This window comes from Homo sapiens, chromosome 7 (genome assembly GCF_000001405.40).
Source record: "Homo sapiens chromosome 7, GRCh38.p14 Primary Assembly".
Lineage (NCBI taxonomy): Eukaryota > Metazoa > Chordata > Mammalia > Primates > Hominidae > Homo > Homo sapiens.
The window spans coordinates 74,770,154-74,790,297 of NC_000007.14; the positions used below are offsets into that span (position 1 = coordinate 74,770,154).

The 20,144-nt window shown below is 53.7% G+C and overlaps 1 protein-coding gene across 1 annotated transcript, besides 5 other annotated features; it reads left to right on the forward strand.

The window, feature by feature from the left end:
* Nucleotides 1-20,144: part of a biological region, named in NCBI's record as "Williams-Beuren syndrome medial block B recombination region", that runs on past both edges of the window. NCBI's record gives its function as "recombination_partner: LOC106029311 | LOC106029313".
* Nucleotides 1-20,144: part of a non allelic homologous recombination region, noted in NCBI's record as "sub-region SSN3'-SSN6', recombines with sub-region SSN3-SSN6 within the WBS centromeric block B recombination region", that runs on past both edges of the window. NCBI's record gives the evidence for it as "EXISTENCE:restriction fragment detection evidence [ECO:0001124][PMID:12796854]".
* Nucleotides 2,139-2,684: an enhancer, noted in NCBI's record as "H3K27ac-H3K4me1 hESC enhancer chr7:74186639-74187184 (GRCh37/hg19 assembly coordinates)". NCBI's record gives its function as "activates a minimal SCP1, AML or CMV promoter by ChIP-STARR-seq in naive H9 embryonic stem cells {active_cell/tissue: H9 hESC(naive)}" and the evidence as "EXISTENCE:reporter gene assay evidence [ECO:0000049][PMID:30033119]".
* NCF1 (neutrophil cytosolic factor 1) lies at nt 3,858-19,162 on the forward strand. The gene is made up of 11 exons (NM_000265.7): nt 3,858-3,950; nt 7,114-7,194; nt 8,929-9,004; nt 9,104-9,269; nt 10,627-10,682; nt 12,786-12,908; nt 13,372-13,479; nt 15,029-15,146; nt 17,831-17,935; nt 18,406-18,551; nt 18,886-19,162. Exons 1-11 carry the CDS (start codon nt 3,879-3,881, stop codon nt 19,005-19,007), a joined length of 1,173 nt encoding a protein of 390 aa, NP_000256.4. The 5' UTR covers nt 3,858-3,878; the 3' UTR covers nt 19,008-19,162.
* Nucleotides 17,333-18,035: an enhancer, noted in NCBI's record as "H3K27ac-H3K4me1 hESC enhancer chr7:74201830-74202532 (GRCh37/hg19 assembly coordinates)". NCBI's record gives its function as "activates a minimal SCP1, AML or CMV promoter by ChIP-STARR-seq in naive H9 embryonic stem cells {active_cell/tissue: H9 hESC(naive)}" and the evidence as "EXISTENCE:reporter gene assay evidence [ECO:0000049][PMID:30033119]".
* Nucleotides 18,914-19,573: an enhancer, noted in NCBI's record as "H3K4me1 hESC enhancer chr7:74203411-74204070 (GRCh37/hg19 assembly coordinates)". NCBI's record gives its function as "activates a minimal SCP1, AML or CMV promoter by ChIP-STARR-seq in naive H9 embryonic stem cells {active_cell/tissue: H9 hESC(naive)}" and the evidence as "EXISTENCE:reporter gene assay evidence [ECO:0000049][PMID:30033119]".

Genomic DNA, 20,144 nt, shown 5'->3' on the forward strand with positions numbered 1-20,144 from the left:
TTCACCATGTTGGGCCAGCTGGTCTTGAACTCCTGACCTCAGGTGATCCGCCCACCGTAGCCTCCCAAAGTTCTGGGATTAGAGCTATGAGCCACCATGCCTGGCTACCGTGCTGGGCCTTTCGAGGAGGCATTTGACAGGGAAGATGAGAGACAAATTGAGTGTCAGGGAAGGGGTGTTGATAGAAAAATTACAGGAGAGCACACAACTTTCAGCGGGTGAGCCCAGTGCCTGAGCTGCGGGACCACCCTACCAATGACCTTGAACTTATCTGACTGCAGCCTTGAACTCCTGAGCTCAAGGAGTCCTTCTGCCTCAGCCTCCTCCCAAGTAGCTGGGACTACTGGCACATGCCACCATGCCCAGCTAATTATTTTATTTATTTTATTTTATTTTATTTTATTTTATTTTATTTTGAGATGGAGTTTTGTCCTTGTTGCCCAGGCTGGAGTGCAATGGTGCAATCTCAGCTCGCCGCAACTTCTGCCTCCCAGGTGCAAGCGAATTCTCCTGCCTCAGCCTCCTGAGTAGCTGGGATTACAGGCATGTGCCACCACGCCTGGCTAATTTTGTATTTTTAGTAGAGACGGGGTTTCACCATGTTGGCCACGCTGGTCTCGAACCCCTGACCTCAGGTGATCCACCTGCCTCGGCCTCCCAAAGTACTGAGATTACAGGCATGAGCCACCGCACCTGGCCCCACTTGTGGAACTAGCATCTATCTGGAGAGGAGGCAAACATCGCCCACCACCTCCCGCTCTCTCCTGTCACCACTGTCCCCACCATCATTCCAGAGGTCACCCTGGCTTCCAACACCACAGCCTGGCTTGGGCAGTTTTCAAGCCTCGTATAAATGACATCCTCCAGAACATGTGCTCTGTGCCTGCCTTCCTTCCGTCAGTGATGTATCTGGAAGATTCCACTGTGTCGCCCTGTGGGACAGGTCCTTGTCATTGCTGAGTAGATCCTGTTGCAAATGCCTATCTCTCTTCATGGAAAGATCCAAGATACACAGATGGAAATCATCATAGGAAGGGCTGGCAAGGCCGTTCACACCCAGGGCTGGGGACCTCAGGGTGGAGGTGGGGGACAGTAAGGACCAGAAGGAGCAGGTGCCGGCGGGTGATGTGAGCTTTCTTCTCTATAGAGAAGTGAAGGCCGGGTGCAGTGGCTCACTCCTGTAATCCCAGCGCTTTGGGAGGTCGAGGCGGGCAGATCACTTGAGGTCAGGAGTTCGAGACCAGCCTGGGCAATTTGGTGAAACCCCATCACTATAAAAATACAAAAAATTAGCCGGACATGGTGGTGCACGCCTGTAATCCCAGCTATTTGGGAGGCTGAGGCAGGAGAATTGCTTGTACCCGGAAGGTGAAGGTTGCAGTGAGCCGAGATCATGCCACTGCATACCAGCCTGGGGGACAGAAAGAGACTCTGTCTCAAAAAAAAAAAAAAGAAAAAAAGAAGTGAAGCACTTGCCAAGCAAATCTTTCAGAGCAGGTGGAGTGGACCCTACACCTCTTGGATAATAAATGCACTGGATAATAAAAGCAGGAACAGGCCAGGTGCGGTGGCATGTGCCTGTAGTCCCAACCTACTGGGGAGGCCAAGGCAGGAGGACTGCTTGAGCCCAGGAGTTGGAGGCTGCAGTGAGTTATGACCAGGCAACTGCACTCCAGCCTGGGTGACAGATAGAGACCCTGTCTTTAAAAAAAAAAAAAAAAAAAAAAGGGCCAAGCACAGTGGCTCATGCCTGTAATCCCAACACTTTGGGAGGCTGAGGTGGGTGGATCTCCTGAGCTCAGGAGTTCAAGACCAGCCTGGCCAACAGGGTGATACCCCTTCTCTACTAAAAATACAAAATTAGCCAGGCGTGGTGGCGCACACCTGTAATCCCAGCTACTTGGGAAGCTGAGGCAGGAGAATCGCTTGAACCTGGAAGGCAGAGGTTGCAGTGAGCCGAGATTGTGCCACTGCACTCCAGCTTGGGCAACAAGAGCGAAACTTCGCTTCAAACAAATAAATTAACGCCCAGCATGTCTTGGCTTTCATCTGCCAGACCTCAACCCTCACCCCCAGGAGATCAGGTCCGGACCATGAGCTGACCCTGGACTCAGGCAAGGGTGAGTTGGTGCAGCCCTGGCCTGCTGGGAGGCACAGGCTGCAGCAGGCTGCCTGGGGCTGAGGCCCGCCACTCATGAACTCATGACCTTGAATGAGCTCCAAAAGCTCTGGGCCTCCCAGGCTCTAGGGGGAGTGGGAGAGAGAGGCCTCAGCCTGTCCCTGGGCATGCTGCCCCCTCCTCACCTCTTTGTCCCAAATCCCCTTCCTGGCAAAGCTGACAGTCTTAATATCACTCTGGAGAAAACTGAGTCAGCCCTAAGGAACAATTCAATGAACCATTTGCTTACTTGAGGATTGGAACTCAAGTCTCACTCAAAGTCTGTGCCATTTTCGTCCCAGCTGTCACTGGCCCTCATCCACACACACCCAAGGATGAGCATCTAACGCTTGCATGCACACTCCCATGCCCGCGTTCATTCACTCATTCATTCATTCATTCACTCATTCATTGACTCATTCATTCATTCACTCACTCATTCATTCACTCAGTGAATGTTGCAGTCACGATCCAAATATTTATGGCCTCTGTGTGCCAGGCACTAGATGGAGGGGCTGGGGCTAGAGCCCCTGATAACCCGGTCATGCCCTAGCTTTCCTGGGACACACATTGTGGTAAGGGGAGACTAAAAAAATTAAGTCAGGCCAGGCACGGTGGCTCATGCCTGAATCCCAGCACTTTGGGAGGCCGAGGCGAGTGAATTACCTGAGGTCAGGAGTTCAAGACCAGCCTGGCCAACATGGAGAAACCCAGTCTCTAATTAAAAAAAAAAAAAATTAACCAGGTGTGGTGGCACATGCCTGTAATCCCAGCTACTCAGGAGACTAACGCAAGAGAATTGCTTGAACCCAGGAGGCAGAGGTTGCGGTGAGCCGAGATCGCGCCATTGCACTCCAGCCTGGGAAACAAGAGCGAGACTCCATCTCAAAAAAAAAAAAGTGGGAGGCAGAGGCAGGAGGATCACTAGAGGCCAGTAGTTTGAGACCATCCTGGGCAACATAGCAGGACCCTGTCTGTACAAAAAAATTAAAAAAAATTTAACCGGGCATGGTGGCACACACCCGTAGTCCCAGCTACTCCAGAGGCTGAGGCAGGAGGATCGCTGGAGCCCAGGAGTTGGAGGCTGCAGTGAACTGTGATCCCACCACTGCACTTAAGCCTGGATAACAAAGCAAGACCCTGTCTCAAATAACAATAGCAATAATAATAAAGAAAAATTAAATGCAATTTGCGATGCATCAGTGATAAGTGCTCTGCAGAAAAAGGAGGCAGGAAGAGGCTGAGAAAGGTATGAGGTTTGCTATGCAATGTGAAGTTATCAAGGAAGGCTTCTCGGAAGAGGTGACATTTGAGCAGAGAAATGGAGGAGAGTTATGGAGGGAAGATGGTGAATGGGGGGAACATGGTCAAGACCAGGAATATGGTCAAGGGGGGAAAGATGGTCAAGGGGACGCAGCAAATGCAAAGGCCCTGAGGCAGGAGCAGCTTGATTCACCCCCAAAACCCGTGGGGCCCGTGCAGGCGACGGGAAGGACAAGTGTAAACCCTTTTCCTTGTCCCTGCAGGTGTGTGTGAACATGAGTCTGCCCATGTTTACACCCTGCAAGCCTGAAGAGTCCCCAGAAACTGAAAGAAGAAGCAAAGCCCTTTCTGTACCCTCCCTGCCCCCTGTCCCGACCGCGACAAAAGCGACTTCCTCTTTCCAGTGCATTTAAGGCGCAGCCTGGAAGTGCCAGGGAGCACTGGAGGCCACCCAGTCATGGGGGACACCTTCATCCGTCACATCGCCCTGCTGGGCTTTGAGAAGCGCTTCGTACCCAGCCAGCACTATGTGAGTAGCTGGTGGAGGGCATCCCGTGGGGGGAATACGGGAGGGACAGCACGGCCACCCTTGCAGTCCCAGGGCCAACCAGCTCCAGTGAGGACTAACGGGGCAGGGTCTTGGGCACCTGGTCCCTGGTCTTTGAGCCTGGATCTACCCCTCTGATCCCTGGGAAGACAGTTCCCTTGGACCCGCCCTGGGCCCCAGCCCTTTACTGTCCCCGCCTGTGTCCCCAGCCAGGCCCTCAGCCTTAGCCAGGAGTCCTCTTTCTGCTCCCCTGCCATGGCCAGGCAGCCCAGCGCTCTCTCAGGTCCGAGGCCCACTCCTCCAGGAAGCCTTCCCTGACTAGCCCAGCTATCAGAGAGTGGCCCTCCCAAGAGGGAGGCCTGGAAACTAAAGCTCTCTCTCTCCCCAGCTGCCTGTAGTGTCAGTTAGAGTCTTATCCTCTCCAGTAGGGTGACACCATGACAGGGGCCAATAGAGTCCTCCCATCTGTCCCCAAGGAGGCTGGACAAATGCCTGCTCAGACACACAAGTCCACTGGGTCCCCTAATCCCATAGGAAGGCCAGGGAGGAACTACATTTAGGAAATTGAAGCTTGTATGGAACATTTAGTCCTATGTGCCAAGACCTTTCTCTTTTTTGTTATTTTTTTGTTTTTTGAGACAGAGTCTTGATCTGTTGCCCAGGCCAGAGTGCAGTGGCACGATCTCAGCTCACTGCAACCTCCGCCTTCCAGGTTCAACTGGTTCTCCTGCCTCAGCCTCCAGAGTAGTTGGGATTACAGGTGCCCACCACCACGCCTGGCTAATTTTTGTATTTTTAGTAGAGACAGGGTTTCACCATGTTGGCCAGACTGGTCTCAAACTCCTGACCTCAAGTGATCCACCCACCTGGGCCTCCCAAAGTGCTGGGATTACAGGCATGAGCCACCGTGCCTGGCCTGTTTTTTTGAAATGAGGTCTGGAGTGCAGTGGTGCGATCATAGTTCACTGCAGCCTCGACCTCCCAGGCCCAAGTGATCCTCCTGCCTCAGCCCCTTGAGTAGCTGGGGCTACAGGCGCACACCACCATGCCTGGCTAGTTTTTAAAATTTTTGTGGAGATGAGGTTTCACTATGTTGTCCAGGCTAATCTTGAACTCCTCGGCTTAAGCAACCCTCTGGTCTCAGCCTCCCACAGTGCTAGGATTACAAGCGTGAGCTACCGTGCCTAGTCACTTTTCTCCTTTTCTTTGTAACTTTCAGTTTTGAAATTTCAAATTTACAGAAAGGCTACTGGGTGTCAAAACGGTACCAGTCACTCCAATAGTCTTTCACTCACCTTCATCCACACCTCTCTTTCTGGGGATATTTTCTGAATTATTTGAGAGTGAGTTGAAGACGTGTTTCTTTACCTCTAAATACTAGTTGTTGGGCATTTCTTAAAATCAAGGCATTCTCTTACATAATCACAACACACGTGTCAAAATCAGGAAATTAACATGGACAAAACACCATTATCCACCCACAGACTTTACTGAGGTTTCCCCGATTATCCTGCTTGTCCTCTGCAGTGAAAACTTTTTTCAGGTCTAGGATCCAGTCAAGGATCAATGTCATAGCCTTTAACCTTCTTTAATCTGGATCAGTCTTTTTTCTTTTTCTTTTTCTTTTTTTGGACACGGAATCTCACTCTGTCGCCAGACTGGAGTGCAGTGGTGCAATCTCGGCTCATTGCAACCTCTGCCTCCTGGGTTCAAGAGATTCTCCTGCCTCAGCCTCCTGAGTAGCTGGGAATACAGGTGCGCGCCACCATGCCCAGCTCGCATTTTTTGGTAGAGACAGGGTTTTGCCATATTGATTCTGGATCAGTCTTTTTTTTTTTTTTATGAGATGGAGTCTTACTCTGTCACCCAGGCTGGAGTGCAATGGCACAATCTCCACTCACTGCATCCTCCGCCTCCCAGGTTCAAGCAATTCTCGTGCCTCAGCCTCCCGAGTAGCTGGGATTACAGGCATGCGCCACCATGCCCGGCTACTTTTTGTATTTTTAGTAGAGACAGGGTTTCACCATGTTAGCCAGGCTGATCTCGAACTCCTGACGTCAGGTGATCTGCCCGCCTCGACCTCCCAAAGTGCTGGGATTACAGGCGTGAGCCACCGTGCCAGCGGATTCTGGATCGGTCTTAATCAGTCTTTGTCTTTTGCAACTTTGATGTTTTGCAGAGAGCAGACCAGTTACCTTGTAGAATGTCCCTTAGTTTGGGTTTATCTTCATTAGATTCAGTTTGTGTATCCAGGGCAGTGGATCTTAGATGCAATTCTGTCTTCTTTTTAATTTTTTTGAGAGGGAGTCTCGCTCTGTCACCCAGGCTGGAGTGCAGTGGCACAACCTCAGCTCACTGCAGCCTCCGCCTCCCGGGTTCAAGCAATTATCCTGTCCCAGCCTCCCAAGTAGCTGGGATCACAGGTGCCCATCACCACTACCGGGTAATTTTTGTGTTTTTAGTAGAGACAGGGTTTCACCATATTGGTCAGGCTGGTCTTGAACGCCTGACCTCAGGTGATCCACCTGCCTTGGCCTCCCAAAGTGCTGGGATTACAGACGGGAGCCAACATGCCCAGCCTTCCTGCCCCTCCCGTCCCCTCCCCTCTCCTCCTGTCCCCTCCCTTCCCCTCCCCTCCCCACCCAAGCTGGAGTGCAGTGGTGCAATCATAGCTCACTAAAGCCTTGACCTCCAAGTCTCAAGCAATTCTCCTGCCTCACCTGGGGCCACAGGTGTGCGGCACCACACCCGGACAATTTTTGTGTTTTTAGTAGATATGGGGGTCTCGCTATGTTGCCCAGGCTGGTCTCAAACTCTTGGACTCAAGCGATCTTCCCACCTCGGTACTAAAAAGTGCTGGGATTCCAGGTGTGAGCCACCGTGCCCAGCCTAGGTCCTACTTTTATCTCCAATTTACAGATGAGTCCATTTGAGAGAAGCTGACCCTCTTGCCCTGGGTCTCAAGGCTGGGGCGTGGCAGCACTTGGGTCCACGTTTGTGCCCTTTCTGCAATCCAGGACAACCGCAAAGATGGTCCTCACCCCAATCCTCTGGGCTTCCTCCAGTGGGTAGTGGGATCCTGGGTGCACACAGCAAAGCCTCTTTGGAGGCTGAATGGGGTCCCCCGACTCTGGCTTTCCCCCAGGTGTACATGTTCCTGGTGAAATGGCAGGACCTGTCGGAGAAGGTGGTCTACCGGCGCTTCACCGAGATCTACGAGTTCCATGTGAGTGTGGGGATGGAGGAGGGACAGGGACCCACCGTTCCAGCTCCACCCTTTGGGAAGGACCTTAGCCCAGGTGATGGGGAAACTGCAGAACCCAGAATCCCCTCCCAGACCACAGTTAAAGGGGATTTATTTATTTATATAAATTTTTGTGACAGGGTCTTGCTCTGTCACCACTCTGAACACCTCATGTTCTCTGATTACAGGCATGAGCCCCCACGCTCGGCCTTTTAGGTGGTTTTGAGAGGTATTTAGGTTTGCAGTGCAGGGGCGCAATCATAGCTCACTGCAGCCTCGACCTCTGGGGCTCAAGCGATCCTCCTGCCTCAGCCTCCTGAGTAGCTGGGACTATAGGTGCGCATCACCATGTGTGGCTAATTTTTGTATTTTTTATAAAGATGGGGATCTCACTATGTTGCCCAGGCTGGTCTTGAACTCCAGACCTCAAGTGATCCTCCTGCCTTGGCCTCCCAAAGCTAAGGGGGCATTAAAAGAAAAAAACATTTTTCCCCCTGAAACATTTAAGTAGTCTTACTGAAAACAATAAAACACAGAAACACCAGATTCTCATTTTAAAGTAAAACAGACAGGATCTCCCAGAACCTTCCTAGAATGGAACCATTCTTGTCGCTTTTGAAAAACAAAGCCAAGTTCTAGATCCCAAATAAATGCACCTGCTGGTGAACATTCTCCTTGTGGTTCTCGTCCCTATGTTAGTTATTTTCCTAAATTTTACATTTGTACCTTTTTAAGAATGAGTTATCAGTTTTTTTATATTTGCTTTTCTTTTGAGATGGGGTCTTGCTCTGTCACCCAGGCTGGGGTGCAGTGGTGCAATCACGGCTCACTGCAGCCTCAACCTCCAGGGCTGAAGCGATTCTCCCATCTCAGCCTCCCATGTTGAGATCACAGGTGTGCACCACCACACCTGGCTCCTTTTCCTGATTTGTTTTTTGTAGAGATGGGATTTCGCTATGTTGCCCAGGCTGGTCTCTAACTCCTGGACTCAAGTGATCCTCCCGCCTCAGCCTCCCAAATTGCTAGGATTACAGGTTTGAGCCCCTGCACCTGGTCAACCTGAGTTTTAAGAGGATCCCTTTGGCGACTGGATTGAGGACAGACAAGAGTGGACGGGGGACACAAGGAGGCCATTTTCGTTATCCAGGCCTGGTAGTGGCTAGGGCCAGGAGGGTGGGGTTGGTGGGAAGCAGTCAGATCCCAAAGAGATTTGGGGATTGGAAGCAAAAGGATTTGCTGGTGACTTGCACATGGGAGGGAGAGAGGTCAGTGCCTCTGCTAATCAAGGAATCCAGATTGCCACCGAAATTTCTAGGCCCGAGATATTTAGGTAGTGTCTCACTCTGTCACCCAGGATGGAGTGCAGTGGCACCATCTCGGCTCACTGTAACCTCCGCCTCCCAGGTTTAAGCGATTCTCCCACCTCAGCCTCCTGAGTAGCTGGGATTACAGGCATGTGCCACCACTCCCGGCTAATTTTTGTATTTTTAGTAGAGACGGGGTTTCACCACGTTGGCCAGGCTGGTCTTGAACTCCTGACCTCAAGTGATCCACCCACGACAGCCTCCCAAAGTGCTGGGATTACAGGCGTGAGCCACCATGCTCGGCCTTTTAGGTGGTTTTGAGAGGTATTTAGGTCACTTCCAATCTCGTGCTTTTCCAAGTGTTGTAAACTACAAATATTCCTTCACGTCTTCTTGTCTTTTTAATGTTTAGAAAACCTTAAAAGAAATGTTCCCTATTGAGGCAGGGGCGATCAATCCAGAGAACAGGATCATCCCCCACCTCCCAGGTGAGCACGGGGCTGAGCCGCCTGTCAGGGGGTCATTGGCGGGGGCTCACCTGCCCTCCCAGCCCCTCTCGGGCTTGACCTCATGTTCTCTGGTGCCAGCTCCCAAGTGGTTTGACGGGCAGCGGGCCGCCGAGAACCGCCAGGGCACACTTACCGAGTACTGCAGCACGCTCATGAGCCTGCCCACCAAGATCTCCCGCTGTCCCCACCTCCTCGACTTCTTCAAGGTGCGCCCTGATGACCTCAAGCTCCCCACGGACAACCAGTGAGTGAACTTTTCACCCTGCCAGGTGGGAGAGGGAAGGAGGGGTGGGACTTTCTGTGTTTTGCAGATGAGGAAACCAAGGCTCAGAGAGGGAAAGCCACCTTCCCAGAGCCACACAGCCAGAAAGAGGAGGCAAATTCCACCTCCGGCCCCTGTGACCCCGCCAAGCCTCCACCTTAATCTTTCACACCTCAGGGCACTGGGGGAAGCACTCGGGGCTGGAGGTTCAAAGTCCTGGGTCCTCATCCTGACATTATGGCCACCTGGCCATGGGACCTGGAGCCAGTCACCACTGCTCTCTGAATGCAGGTTCTCCATTTCTATAATGGGCAGTGAGGATCAGATGAAGCATTGGGTGTCTTGCGGAGCCCCCCAGAAGGATGTGGGGTTGATGCCTCTGCTAAGTGCTGAGCATGTCTGGGGTCTCCTGTACCCAGGACCCTGTGTGGAAGGCACCTGAGAGGCTGAGGGAGCTCCAGGCAGGCTGGGGAAGTCCCCTTCTCCACTCCTCTCTGGTCACTGAAGCTCGAAGTGGGGAGCATGAGGACAGGACGTTACCCCTTGTCAAGGCACCCAGGCTGCCAAGACAGAGACAAGCAGCATTGCTCCGGCCAGCACTTATTGACGCTTGAAGGTGTCCCCTGGCCCAAGGAAGGGCAGTTATCATCAGCCCGGGAGGCGGGGGAAGGATGGACTCTGCAGTGGGGTCCGCTCCTCATTGCCTGCTCTCTCAGGGCTCCAGAAGGAGGAAGAGGCCGGGCACAGTGGCTCACACGTATAATCCCAGCACTTTGGAAGGTCGAGGTGGGCAGATCACCTGAGGTTGGGAGTTTGAGACCAGCCTGGCCAACATGGTGAAACCCCATCTCTACCAAAAATATAAAAATTTAGTCAGGCATGGTGGTGTGCGCTTGTAATCCCAGCTACTTGGGAGGCCGAGGCAGGAGAATCGCTTGAACCCGGGAGGCAGAGGTTGCAGTGAGCTGAGACTGCGCCACTGCACTCCAGCCTGGGTGACAGAGCGAGACTCTGTCTAAGAAAAAAAAAAGAAAAGAAGAAAGAAGATGGCCTGGGAGCCCGCAAGAGCATTTTCCAGGCTTAGGGCATCCTTTGGGTCTGCAGAAGGCTATGCAGTGTCCTCCTCATGTCCCTCCCTTGGGCTGCCCGAGCAGATCCGCCCGCCCCCATCACTTCCTGAAGCCCTTCCTCAGCCAGTCCAGTTGCTGTCTTCTCTCCGCAGTGCCCCTTCCCTTTCCCGGGTCCCTCTTCTCTTGGGAAGTTCTTCTGCAGGTCTACCCAGTGCCTCTTCTTCCTCCATGGGAAGCCAAGGGTCTCACCCAGACTGTTCTCTCCTCAGGACAAAAAAGCCAGAGACATACTTGATGCCCAAAGATGGCAAGAGTACCGCGACAGGTGAGAGGACGGGGGGCAGCCGGCGGGGGGGGACACCCTGAGGAGACCCAGAGTGTTCAGGGAATGGAGCAGGGGCTGGGAGCAGGCTGGGAGGGCTCACAGCTACCCTGCTGAAGAATTGGGTCTTTGGGCCGGGTGCGGTTGCTCATGCCTGTAATCCCAGCAGTTTGGGAGGCCGAGGCAGGTGGATCACTTGAGGTCAGGAGTTTGAGACCAGCCTGGCCAACATGGAGAAACCCTGTCTCTACTAAAAATCCAAATTAGCCAGGCGTGGTGACAGGTGCCTGTAGTCCCAGCCACTTGGGAGGCTGAGGCAGGAGAATTGCTTGAACCCGGAAGACGGAGTTTGCAGTGAGCCGAGATCGTGCCACTGCACTCCAGCCTGGGCAGCAGAGCCAGACTCCATCTCAAAAAAAAAAAAAAAAAAAAAGAAGAATTGGGTCTTTGGAAGGTCCCTGGAGACTGAAAGGAGCCCTTTGCAGGTGGCAGTGCAGAGACCAGCGCAGACCCTTGCTACTGGCAGCCGGGGGAGTGTTTGCGGCTGAATGAATGAACAGGTTTTGGAGGGCAGTGTGGCCTTCAGAGGCGATGCAGGGCTGTGGCAGTTTCTAATACTTATTGCACAGTCACTGCTAATAACAATAATAATAATAATACCTAACATTAATGGAGTGCTTACTCTGTGCCAGCCACTATTTTGTTTTTGTTGTTTTCAGTGACAGGGTCTCGCTCTGTTGCCCAGGCTAGAGTGAAGTGGTGTGATCATAGCTCACTACAGCCTCGACCTCCTGGGCTGAAGCGATCCTCCCACCTCAGCCTCCCAAGTAGCTGGGATTACAGGTGTGTGCCACCATGTCCAGCTAATTTTTAATTTTCTGGTAGAGATGGGGTCTCACTACATTGCCCAAGCTGGTCTTAAGCTCTTGGCCTCAAGCAACCCTCCTGCCTCAGCCTCCCAAAGTGCTGAGATTATAGACATGAGCCACTGTGCCCGGCTTTTTCTTCTTCTTATAAGGACACGAGGCCTGTTGGGTTAGGGCCCACTCTACTGACCTCATTTTAATTTAATTACCTCTTGAAACGTACTTAAGAGTACCTTTCTCTTAATACACCCACACTGTAAGGTACTGGGTGGTTAGGACTTCAACATATGAATTTTGAGAAGGCGGATGTCAGCCAATACTAAACAGCATCAGCACCTCCACGGTTGGATGAAGGGCTGGTCAGAAATGCACACTCAGGTCCCACAGTGGACCTACTGAACAGGATAGGCATTTTAGCAAAATCCCAGGTATTCGGGTGCACCTTAAAGTTAGGAAAAGGTCAGGCACTGTGGCTCATGCCTGTAATCCCAGCACTTTGGGAGGCCGAGGCGGTTGAATCACCTGAGGTCAGGAGTTCGAGACCAGCCTGACCAATATCGTGAAACTCCATCTCTACTAAAAATACAAAAATTAGCCAGGTGTGGTGGCGGGTGCTTGTAGTCCCAGCTACTTGGGAGGCTGAGGCAGGTGAATTACTTGAACCTGGGAGGTGGAGGTTGCAATGAGCCAAGATTGCACCACTGCACTCCAGTGACAGAGCGAGACTCCATCTCAAAAAAAAAAAAAAAAAAGTTGGGAAAAGGCCAGGTGCAGTGGCTCCACACCTGTAATCCCAACACTTTAAGAGGCTGAGGTGGGAGAATCCTTTGAGCCCAGGAGTTCGAGACCAGCCTGGGCATTGTCCCAAGACCTTGTCTTTACAAAAAATTAGCCGGGTGTGGTGGCATACGTCTATGGTCCCAGCTATTCGGGAGGCTGAGGCAGGGAGATTGCTTGAGCCTAGGAGTCCAGGGCTGTAGTGAGCTGTGATCACGTCACTGTACTCTAGCCTGGGCAACAGAGCAAGACTCTGTCTCCAAAAAAGAAAATAAAGTTGGGAAAGGCTCACTAACTTCATCAGATGAGAACAAGGACATGTTTGAAGTGTGAGGCCGAAGCCTGGAGAACGCTATGCGCCCAGGAAATGCAGGGCAGCAGAGACTCAAGATGCCAGCGCCTGTTCTGGAGGCCCAGATGGGCCCTGCAATGCCCACTCACCCTGCCCTCCCTCTTGCCCCAGACATCACCGGCCCCATCATCCTGCAGACGTACCGCGCCATTGCCAACTACGAGAAGACCTCGGGCTCCGAGATGGCTCTGTCCACGGGGGACGTGGTGGAGGTCGTAGAGAAGAGCGAGAGCGGTCAGACCTCCCACCTTACGGGGCTCCTTCCCCTGGTGCTCAGGAACCCACAGCCACAAGCCCCCTGCCAAGGCTCAGGCAGCCTTGCCCCTGGGAGGACTCCGGCTCTGTTAGGGGCCCTAAATGTCCTCCCCACACTGTGGGTCGCCTTCTGTCTTAGTGTGCACCCTGTGGTGGCTGTGGGCATCTGTGCATGGCAGGCCGGGGCGGGGCATGTCTGCGTGTTCTGTCTGGATGGGTATGGGACCGTCTGTTCATTATGAAGTGGGCTCAGAGCTGTGATTCTGTGAGCATGTGTGCATGCATGCATGTGACCTCATTGTCCAGTGTGGTGAAGGTGACATTTCCAAATCTGAGCATTGGACATCAGTGTGTCTGTGTCCCTGTGTCCTCACCATCCCTGATGGCTGCAGGGAGCCGCTGGGCCCTGCCCCTCAGTCACATTCCCGCACCTCTGGCACAGGTTGGTGGTTCTGTCAGATGAAAGCAAAGCGAGGCTGGATCCCAGCGTCCTTCCTCGAGCCCCTGGACAGTCCTGACGAGACGGAAGACCCTGAGCCCAACTATGCAGGTGCCCCCTGCCCTCCGAGGCTGTAGGGGTGTGGGAGAAAGGGGCAGGCAGGGCTCAGGGATATTGAGTGACTGCTTTGGAGTCTGGGCTGGTTGCTGGCTTGGCAGAAAAGTCAGGGCTAAGATCTCATCGACTCTGGCTTGGGGGCCCTGGCAGGTTGTGATGCCCTTGGTCTGGACAGGGAACCAGGAGGAGGAGCAGACGACTGGGGAGAGTGGGAGGCCAGTGGTGTCTGTGGATATGTGGCCAGGTTCAGTGGGAAGCTGAAGGATGAGCAGACCTTAGGCTCAGGAAGGAGGGCTGCCTGGAAGTGGGGGCATCATCACTGACCAGAAAGGGAAAACTGGCAGTGCCAGGGCTGGATGGGGCCTGCATTGAGCTTGAAAAAAACTATAATAGAATTGGTTACCATTTTATTTTATTATTTATTTATTTATTTTACTTTTTTGAGATAGAGTCTCACTCCCTTGCTAAGGCTGGAGTGCGGTGGTGCTATCTCAGCTCACTGCAACCTCTGCCTCCCAGGATCAAGTGATTCTCCAGCCTCAGCCTCCCCAAGTAGCTGGGATTACAAGCATGCACCACCATGCCTGGATAATTTTTGTATTTTTAGTTGAGACGGGGTTTCACCAGGTTGGCCAGACTGGTCTCGAACTTCTGACCTCAGGTGATCTGCCTGCCTTGGCCTCCCAAAGTGCTGGAATTACAGATGTGAGCCACTGTCCCTGGCCTGGTTACCCACATTTTAAAATGGAGTGATTTCACCCTTTTATGTGGATTTACAGCTTTTTTTTTTTTTTTTGAGACAAAGTCTGGCTCTGTCACCCAGGCTGGAGTGCAGTAATGCAATCTCAGCTCACTGCAACCTTAGCCTCCTGGGTTCAAGCAATTCTCCTGCCTCAGCCACCTGAGTAGCTGGGATTACAGGCATGCACCACCACGCCAGGCTAATTTTTTGTATTTTTAGTAGAGATGGGGTTTCGCCATGTTGGCCAGGCTGGTCTCGAACTCCTGACCTCAGGTGATCCGCCCGCCTTGGCCTCCCAAAGTGCTAGGATTACAGGTGGGAACCACCTTGCCCAGCCTGTGGCTATCGTTTAAACACTGGGAAGGCCTGCAGCCCCCAGGCCGACAGTTAGCTGCAGCTGAGCAGTTCCCAGTGCCAGGTAGACGGATGCTCCACCCACCTACTCATGGCTGATCTCTTGTCATAGTGAAGTGTCTGGACAGACCTTCATCGTTATGGGATCTCTGGTCCCCAGAGTGGGTGGCAATGAATGGGAGTGGACAAGCTCACCTGGGTGTAGGGGGCAGAGGGCCGAAGTCCAGAGTGTACCCCCAGAGTGGGTGCCAGCAGGAGCTTGCCGAGGGATCTGGGATGGAGCAGGAGGGTGGAGGGAGGAGACCCAGAAGAGGGGGAACTGTGGGCCCTGGGTGGGTCTGGAGTGCCTGGAGGAAGCCCAGGCGCAGAGAGGAGAAGATGGGATGGGTGGCGAGCCCCAGGCTGGGCCGACCTCACACTGTGCTCTGTGCCCCTGCCGTGGACCAGGTGAGCCATACGTCGCCATCAAGGCCTACACTGCTGTGGAGGGGGACGAGGTGTCCCTGCTCGAGGGTGAAGCTGTTGAGGTCATTCACAAGCTCCTGGACGGCTGGTGGGTCATCAGGTAGGAGGGCCCCTCTCCATCCAGAGCACCCATCTGAGTCAGCCCCAGCCAGGACGGGGTGTTTAGGGATCTGGGGTGACTTGTCCCTGGGACTCTGGGTAAGCCACTGCCCCTCTCTGGGCTTAGTTTCCATCTCAGTAGCAGGGAGGAATGAGCCCACCCTTGCCTGTCTTGTGGGGATCCAATGTCCTTGTCCAAGTGGGTGCATTTCTCCTTTGTGATTTAGGGTCTCTTCCCAACCATCTATTATTATTCCTTCTCTGGCAACATGGTGAACTGTTGTATAAATAATTACATTCCTAGCTAGGCGCAATGGCTCAGGCCTGTAATCCCAGCACTTTGGGAGCCCAGGACAGGACGATCATGTGAGGTCAGGAGTTCGAGACCACCCTGGCCAACATGGCAAAACCCTATCTCTACTAAAAACACAAACATGAGCCGGGTGTGGTGGTGGGAGCCTGTAATCCCAGCTACTCGGGAGTCTGAGACAAGAGAATCACTTCAACCCGGGAGGCGGAGGTTGCAGTGAGCCAAGATCGCGCCATTGCACTCCAGCCTGGGCAACGAGAGCGAAACTCCGTCTCAAAAAAAAAAAAAAAAAAAAAGATTACTTTCTTTTTATCATTCCTTTATCTTTTAAAGCTTTCTTGCAGTCAGGTGCAGTGTCTCATGCCTGTAATCCCAACACTTTGGGAAGCTGAGGTGGGAGGATCACTCAAGGCTACAAGTTCAAGACCAACCTGGGCAATGTAGGGAGACCTCTGTCTCTACAAAAAAAATTAAAAAATAGCTGGATGTGGTAGCACACACCTGTAGCCCCAGCTACTCAGGAGGCTGAGGTGAAAGGATCACTTGACCCCAGGAGTTGGAGGCTGCAGTGAGCTATGACTGCACCACTGCACCCCAGCCTGGGTGATGGAGCAAGACCCTGTCTCAAAAAAAAAAAAAAAAAAAAAGCTTCCATTGCAATTCCCATCTGTTTATCCTCCAAATGAATGCAGAAATACTAATTATCTTTTTTCTGGTTCTGGGGAACACAGAATTCTAGCGGCTTGTGGAGCCATTTCCCTGGAGCCATGGGGCCTCCCAGGTCCTTTCCTGTGTCTTCATTTTTTACGAATTTTTTCATTTTTTGAGACAGGATCTTGCTCTGACTCCCAAGCTGGAGCACAATCATCGCTCACTCAAGCGATCCTCCCACCTCAGGCTCCCACGTAGCTGGGACTACAGGTGAGCACCACCACATCTGGCTAATGTTTTTTAATTTTTTTGTAGGGATGGGGTCTCACTATGGTGCCAAGACTAGTCTTAAACTCCTGGCCTCAAGAGTTCCTCCTGCCTTGGCCTCCCAAAGCACTGGGATTACAGGAATGAGCCTCCATGCTGGGCCTTTGCTGGCGTCTTCAGAGCCCTAGGTCACAGGGCCAGCCTGGCGCCCTGCCGCAAGCTTATCTTAAAGCTGGGACCACAACATGCATACCTGCAGCCGGGCCCGGGGCCAGAGGGCTTTGAGGCAGCATTTCTCAGCCTTTTAGACACACACTCTGTTAACCCCCATCCTGTGTCTCTGATAATCTTCTTGTGATCCTCCCACCAGCCAAGAATTGGGTTTTATGTGAACCTTGTATTATGCAAAGTTTTCTTTTGTTTTTTTTTTCACTCCCAAATATAATATTGAGAATAGAAAGAAAGTCTTTTCAACAAATGGTGCTGGAACAGATGGATTTCCATACTGGAAAAAAAAAAAAAAGAGCAAAAAACAAACCTAGACCCCTTCCTCACACTGTACACATATGTTTACTTCAGATGGATCACAGGTTTATCCCAGAGTAAAACCTGAAACTAAAAACCATTTGGGGCTGGACAGGGAGCTCACGCCTGTAATCTCAGCACTTTGGGAGGCTGAGGCAGGTGGATCACTTGATGTCAGGAGTTTGAGACCAGCCATGACCAACATGGTGAAATCCTGTCTCTACTAAAAAAATACAAAATTAACCAAGTGTGGTGGTGCATGCCTGTAATCCCAGCTACTTGGGAAGCTGAGACAGGAGAATTGCTTGAACTTGGGAAGCAGAGGTTGCAATGAGTCGACATCATGCCATTGCACTCCAGCCTAGGCAACAAGAGCAAAACTCTGTCTTGGGGTTGGGCGGGGGAAAAGCATTTGGAAGAAAGCATAGAATTTGGTGGCTTGGAGGTAGGCAAAGGTTCGTAGGAGACAGAAGGCAGTTAACATAAAAGAAAAATTGGCAAATATAATCCGCCAATGTCTTCTTTTTTCTTTACTTTTTTCGGGAGGTAGAGATAGGGGTCTTGCTATGTTACCCAGGCTGATCTCCAACTCCTGGCCTCAAGCGATCCTCCCACCTAGATCCCTCAAAGTACTGGGATTACAGGCGTGAGCGACCGTGCCCTGCCCATTCTTGCCAATGTCTTATAGCAAATACCTGTCCCCTGCGGTGACCTGGATCTGCTAACCTCCACCCCTGCCTAGACTGTGGAAGGATTGCTGGAAGGGTCTCAGTTGCACAGACCAGGAAACTGAGGCCCACAGAGGCAGGTGTCCGGTTGTTTGCAACCTCTCAGCCTGTGCTAACCCCAATTGTTCAGAGAGAGCCCTGAAACCCTCTCCTCTGGGCGCCCCCAGGTGACTGCCCCAGCCTCAAGGGCTGCCTCTGTTGCAGGAAAGACGACGTCACAGGCTACTTCCCGTCCATGTACCTGCAAAAGTCAGGGCAAGACGTGTCCCAGGCCCAACGCCAGATCAAGCGGGGGGCGCCGCCCCGCAGGTAAGCGGGGGTCCCCGGGGCTGGGCGGGGTCGAGCGGGGCGCACCACGGGTTCGCTCTGTCTAGGCCATAGCTTGGCAGTGCCGGGGCGGGGGCTCTCAGCCTGGCAGGAGAGGCAGGACCCTCACGGGGGAAAGGGGCTGGACGCGCCTGGCCGCGGTGTGGGGCTGGCACGGGGGCGGAAGGAAAGCGGCGATGCCCGGGGGCTTTGGGGATGGGCAGTCCAGGGGGGGTCCCCGGAGAGGGGGACGACAGACCGAAGGCTGGTGAGGGGCGTGGAAAACCGCCCAGGCTCTGCTGCAGGGCAAGGGTCCTTGTCGTGACGGGGGCAGCCGCCTCTTGTCCCGCCGGGGTCGTGCAGACTACCGGCCCCCTACTGCCCCCCACTTCCTCGGACCAGGGGTGCCCATCTGAGTCCCTGGGGGCAGGGGCGCCCTCGGGCTTTGACGACGCCCCGTCCCGCTGGGCCAGGTCGTCCATCCGCAACGCGCACAGCATCCACCAGCGGTCGCGGAAGCGCCTCAGCCAGGACGCCTATCGCCGCAACAGCGTCCGTTTTCTGCAGCAGCGACGCCGCCAGGCGCGGCCGGGACCGCAGAGCCCCGGGAGCCCGCTCGGTGAGTGCAGCGGGAGAGGGCAGGAAGGGCAAGCCCTAGAGGCGGAGTCAGCGGGAGAGGCGGGGCCAGAGGTAGGGCCAGAGTAGCGGGGCGGGACCAGAGGGCGGAATCAGAGGGAGAGGCGGGGACTGGAGGCGGGGTCAGAGGAGGAGCCAGCGCTAGGGGGCGGAGCGATCCCTAAGAGGCGGAGTCAGAGGGAGAGGCACAAGCGGGAGGCGAGGCCAGAGCGCGGAGCAGGAGTTGGAGACCGCGGCGGGGCGAGGCCAGAGAGCGCTGTGGGCGGGGCCAGTGTGCGGGGCGGGGCGTCTGACTCGGCCCCGCTCTCTGCCCGCAGAGGAGGAGCGGCAGACGCAGCGCTCTAAACCGCAGCCGGCGGTGCCCCCGCGGCCGAGCGCCGACCTCATCCTGAACCGCTGCAGCGAGAGCACCAAGCGGAAGCTGGCGTCTGCCGTCTGAGGCTGGAGCGCAGTCCCCAGCTAGCGTCTCGGCCCTTGCCGCCCCGTGCCTGTATATACGTGTTCTATAGAGCCTGGCGTCTGGACGCCGAGGGCAGCCCCGACCCCTGTCCAGCGCGGCTCCCGCCACCCTCAATAAATGTTGCTTGGAGTGGACCGAGGCTCTGCAGGAATGCAGGGAGGGCCGGGCTCCGCCCCAGGGTTATTTCTAAGTTGAGGACAGGAGGTTGTGAGTTCTGCTGGGGGGAAGTTGCAAGAGCCGAGGTCTGGTTGCATGTTGCCCTGGTCTTGGCCAAGAACAGGTTTGCACAAGGCCAAGTTCAAGAGGAACTCCCGGTTTCCTGCTGACCGTTTGGTCAGAAACCACCTGCTTGGACTCTGGCGGAAGAGTGCTGAAGATGGGTGCACACAGTGCAGCAGGGCAGCCCTGTCTCATGACAGGAGACAGGCTGCCGTCCAGGGTGTAGGAGTGACCTCATAGCTGGGATAAAAAATATATTATAACTTAGGTTCGGGCGCGGTGGCTCACGCCTGTAACCCAGCACTTTGGGAGACCGAGGTGGGAGGATCCGTTGAGCTCAGGAGTTCGAGACCAGCCTGGCCAACATGGTGAAACCCCATCTCTACCAAAAATATAAAAATTAGCTGGGCGTGGTGGCATGCATCCATAATCCCAGCTACTGGGGAGGCTGAGGCATGAGAATCGCTTGAACCGGGGAGGCAGATGTTGCAGTGAGCCGAGACGGCGCCACTGGACTCCAGCCTGGACAACATGGTGAAACCCCATCTGTACCAAAAATATAAAAATTAGCTGGGCGTGGTGGCATGCATCCACAATCCCAGCTACTGGGGAGGCTGAGGCATGAGAATCGCTTGAACCGGGGAGGCAGATGTTGCAGTGAGCCGAGACGGCGCCACTGCACTCCAGCCTGGACTACAGAGCGAGACTCTAGCTCAAAAAAAAAAAAAAAAAAAAGTAACTTAGGTGCAGGGTGTCCTCTGTTATTCACTGAGACCGTGCCCCGGTTATGAGGTTGTACCAGAAAGCAAGTATTCACTATGCACACTATTCACCGCTCACCCTAGCATTGAAGCCAGCCTGTAGCCTGAAAGCCTTTGCTTTGAGGGCAGGTCTTTC

Excerpts from the sequence above, each read along its gene's own strand:
- NCF1 (NM_000265.7), top strand. The coding sequence starts at position 3,879 with ATGGGGGACACCTTCATCCGTCACATCGCCCTGCTGGGCTTTGAGAAG. Across the intron at positions 9,005-9,103 it reads GATCATCCCCCACCTCCCAG|CTCCCAAGTGGTTTGACGGG; the intron begins GTGAGCACGGGG and ends CTCTGGTGCCAG. Across the intron at positions 17,936-18,405 it reads CGGGGGGCGCCGCCCCGCAG|GTCGTCCATCCGCAACGCGC; the intron begins GTAAGCGGGGGT and ends CCGCTGGGCCAG.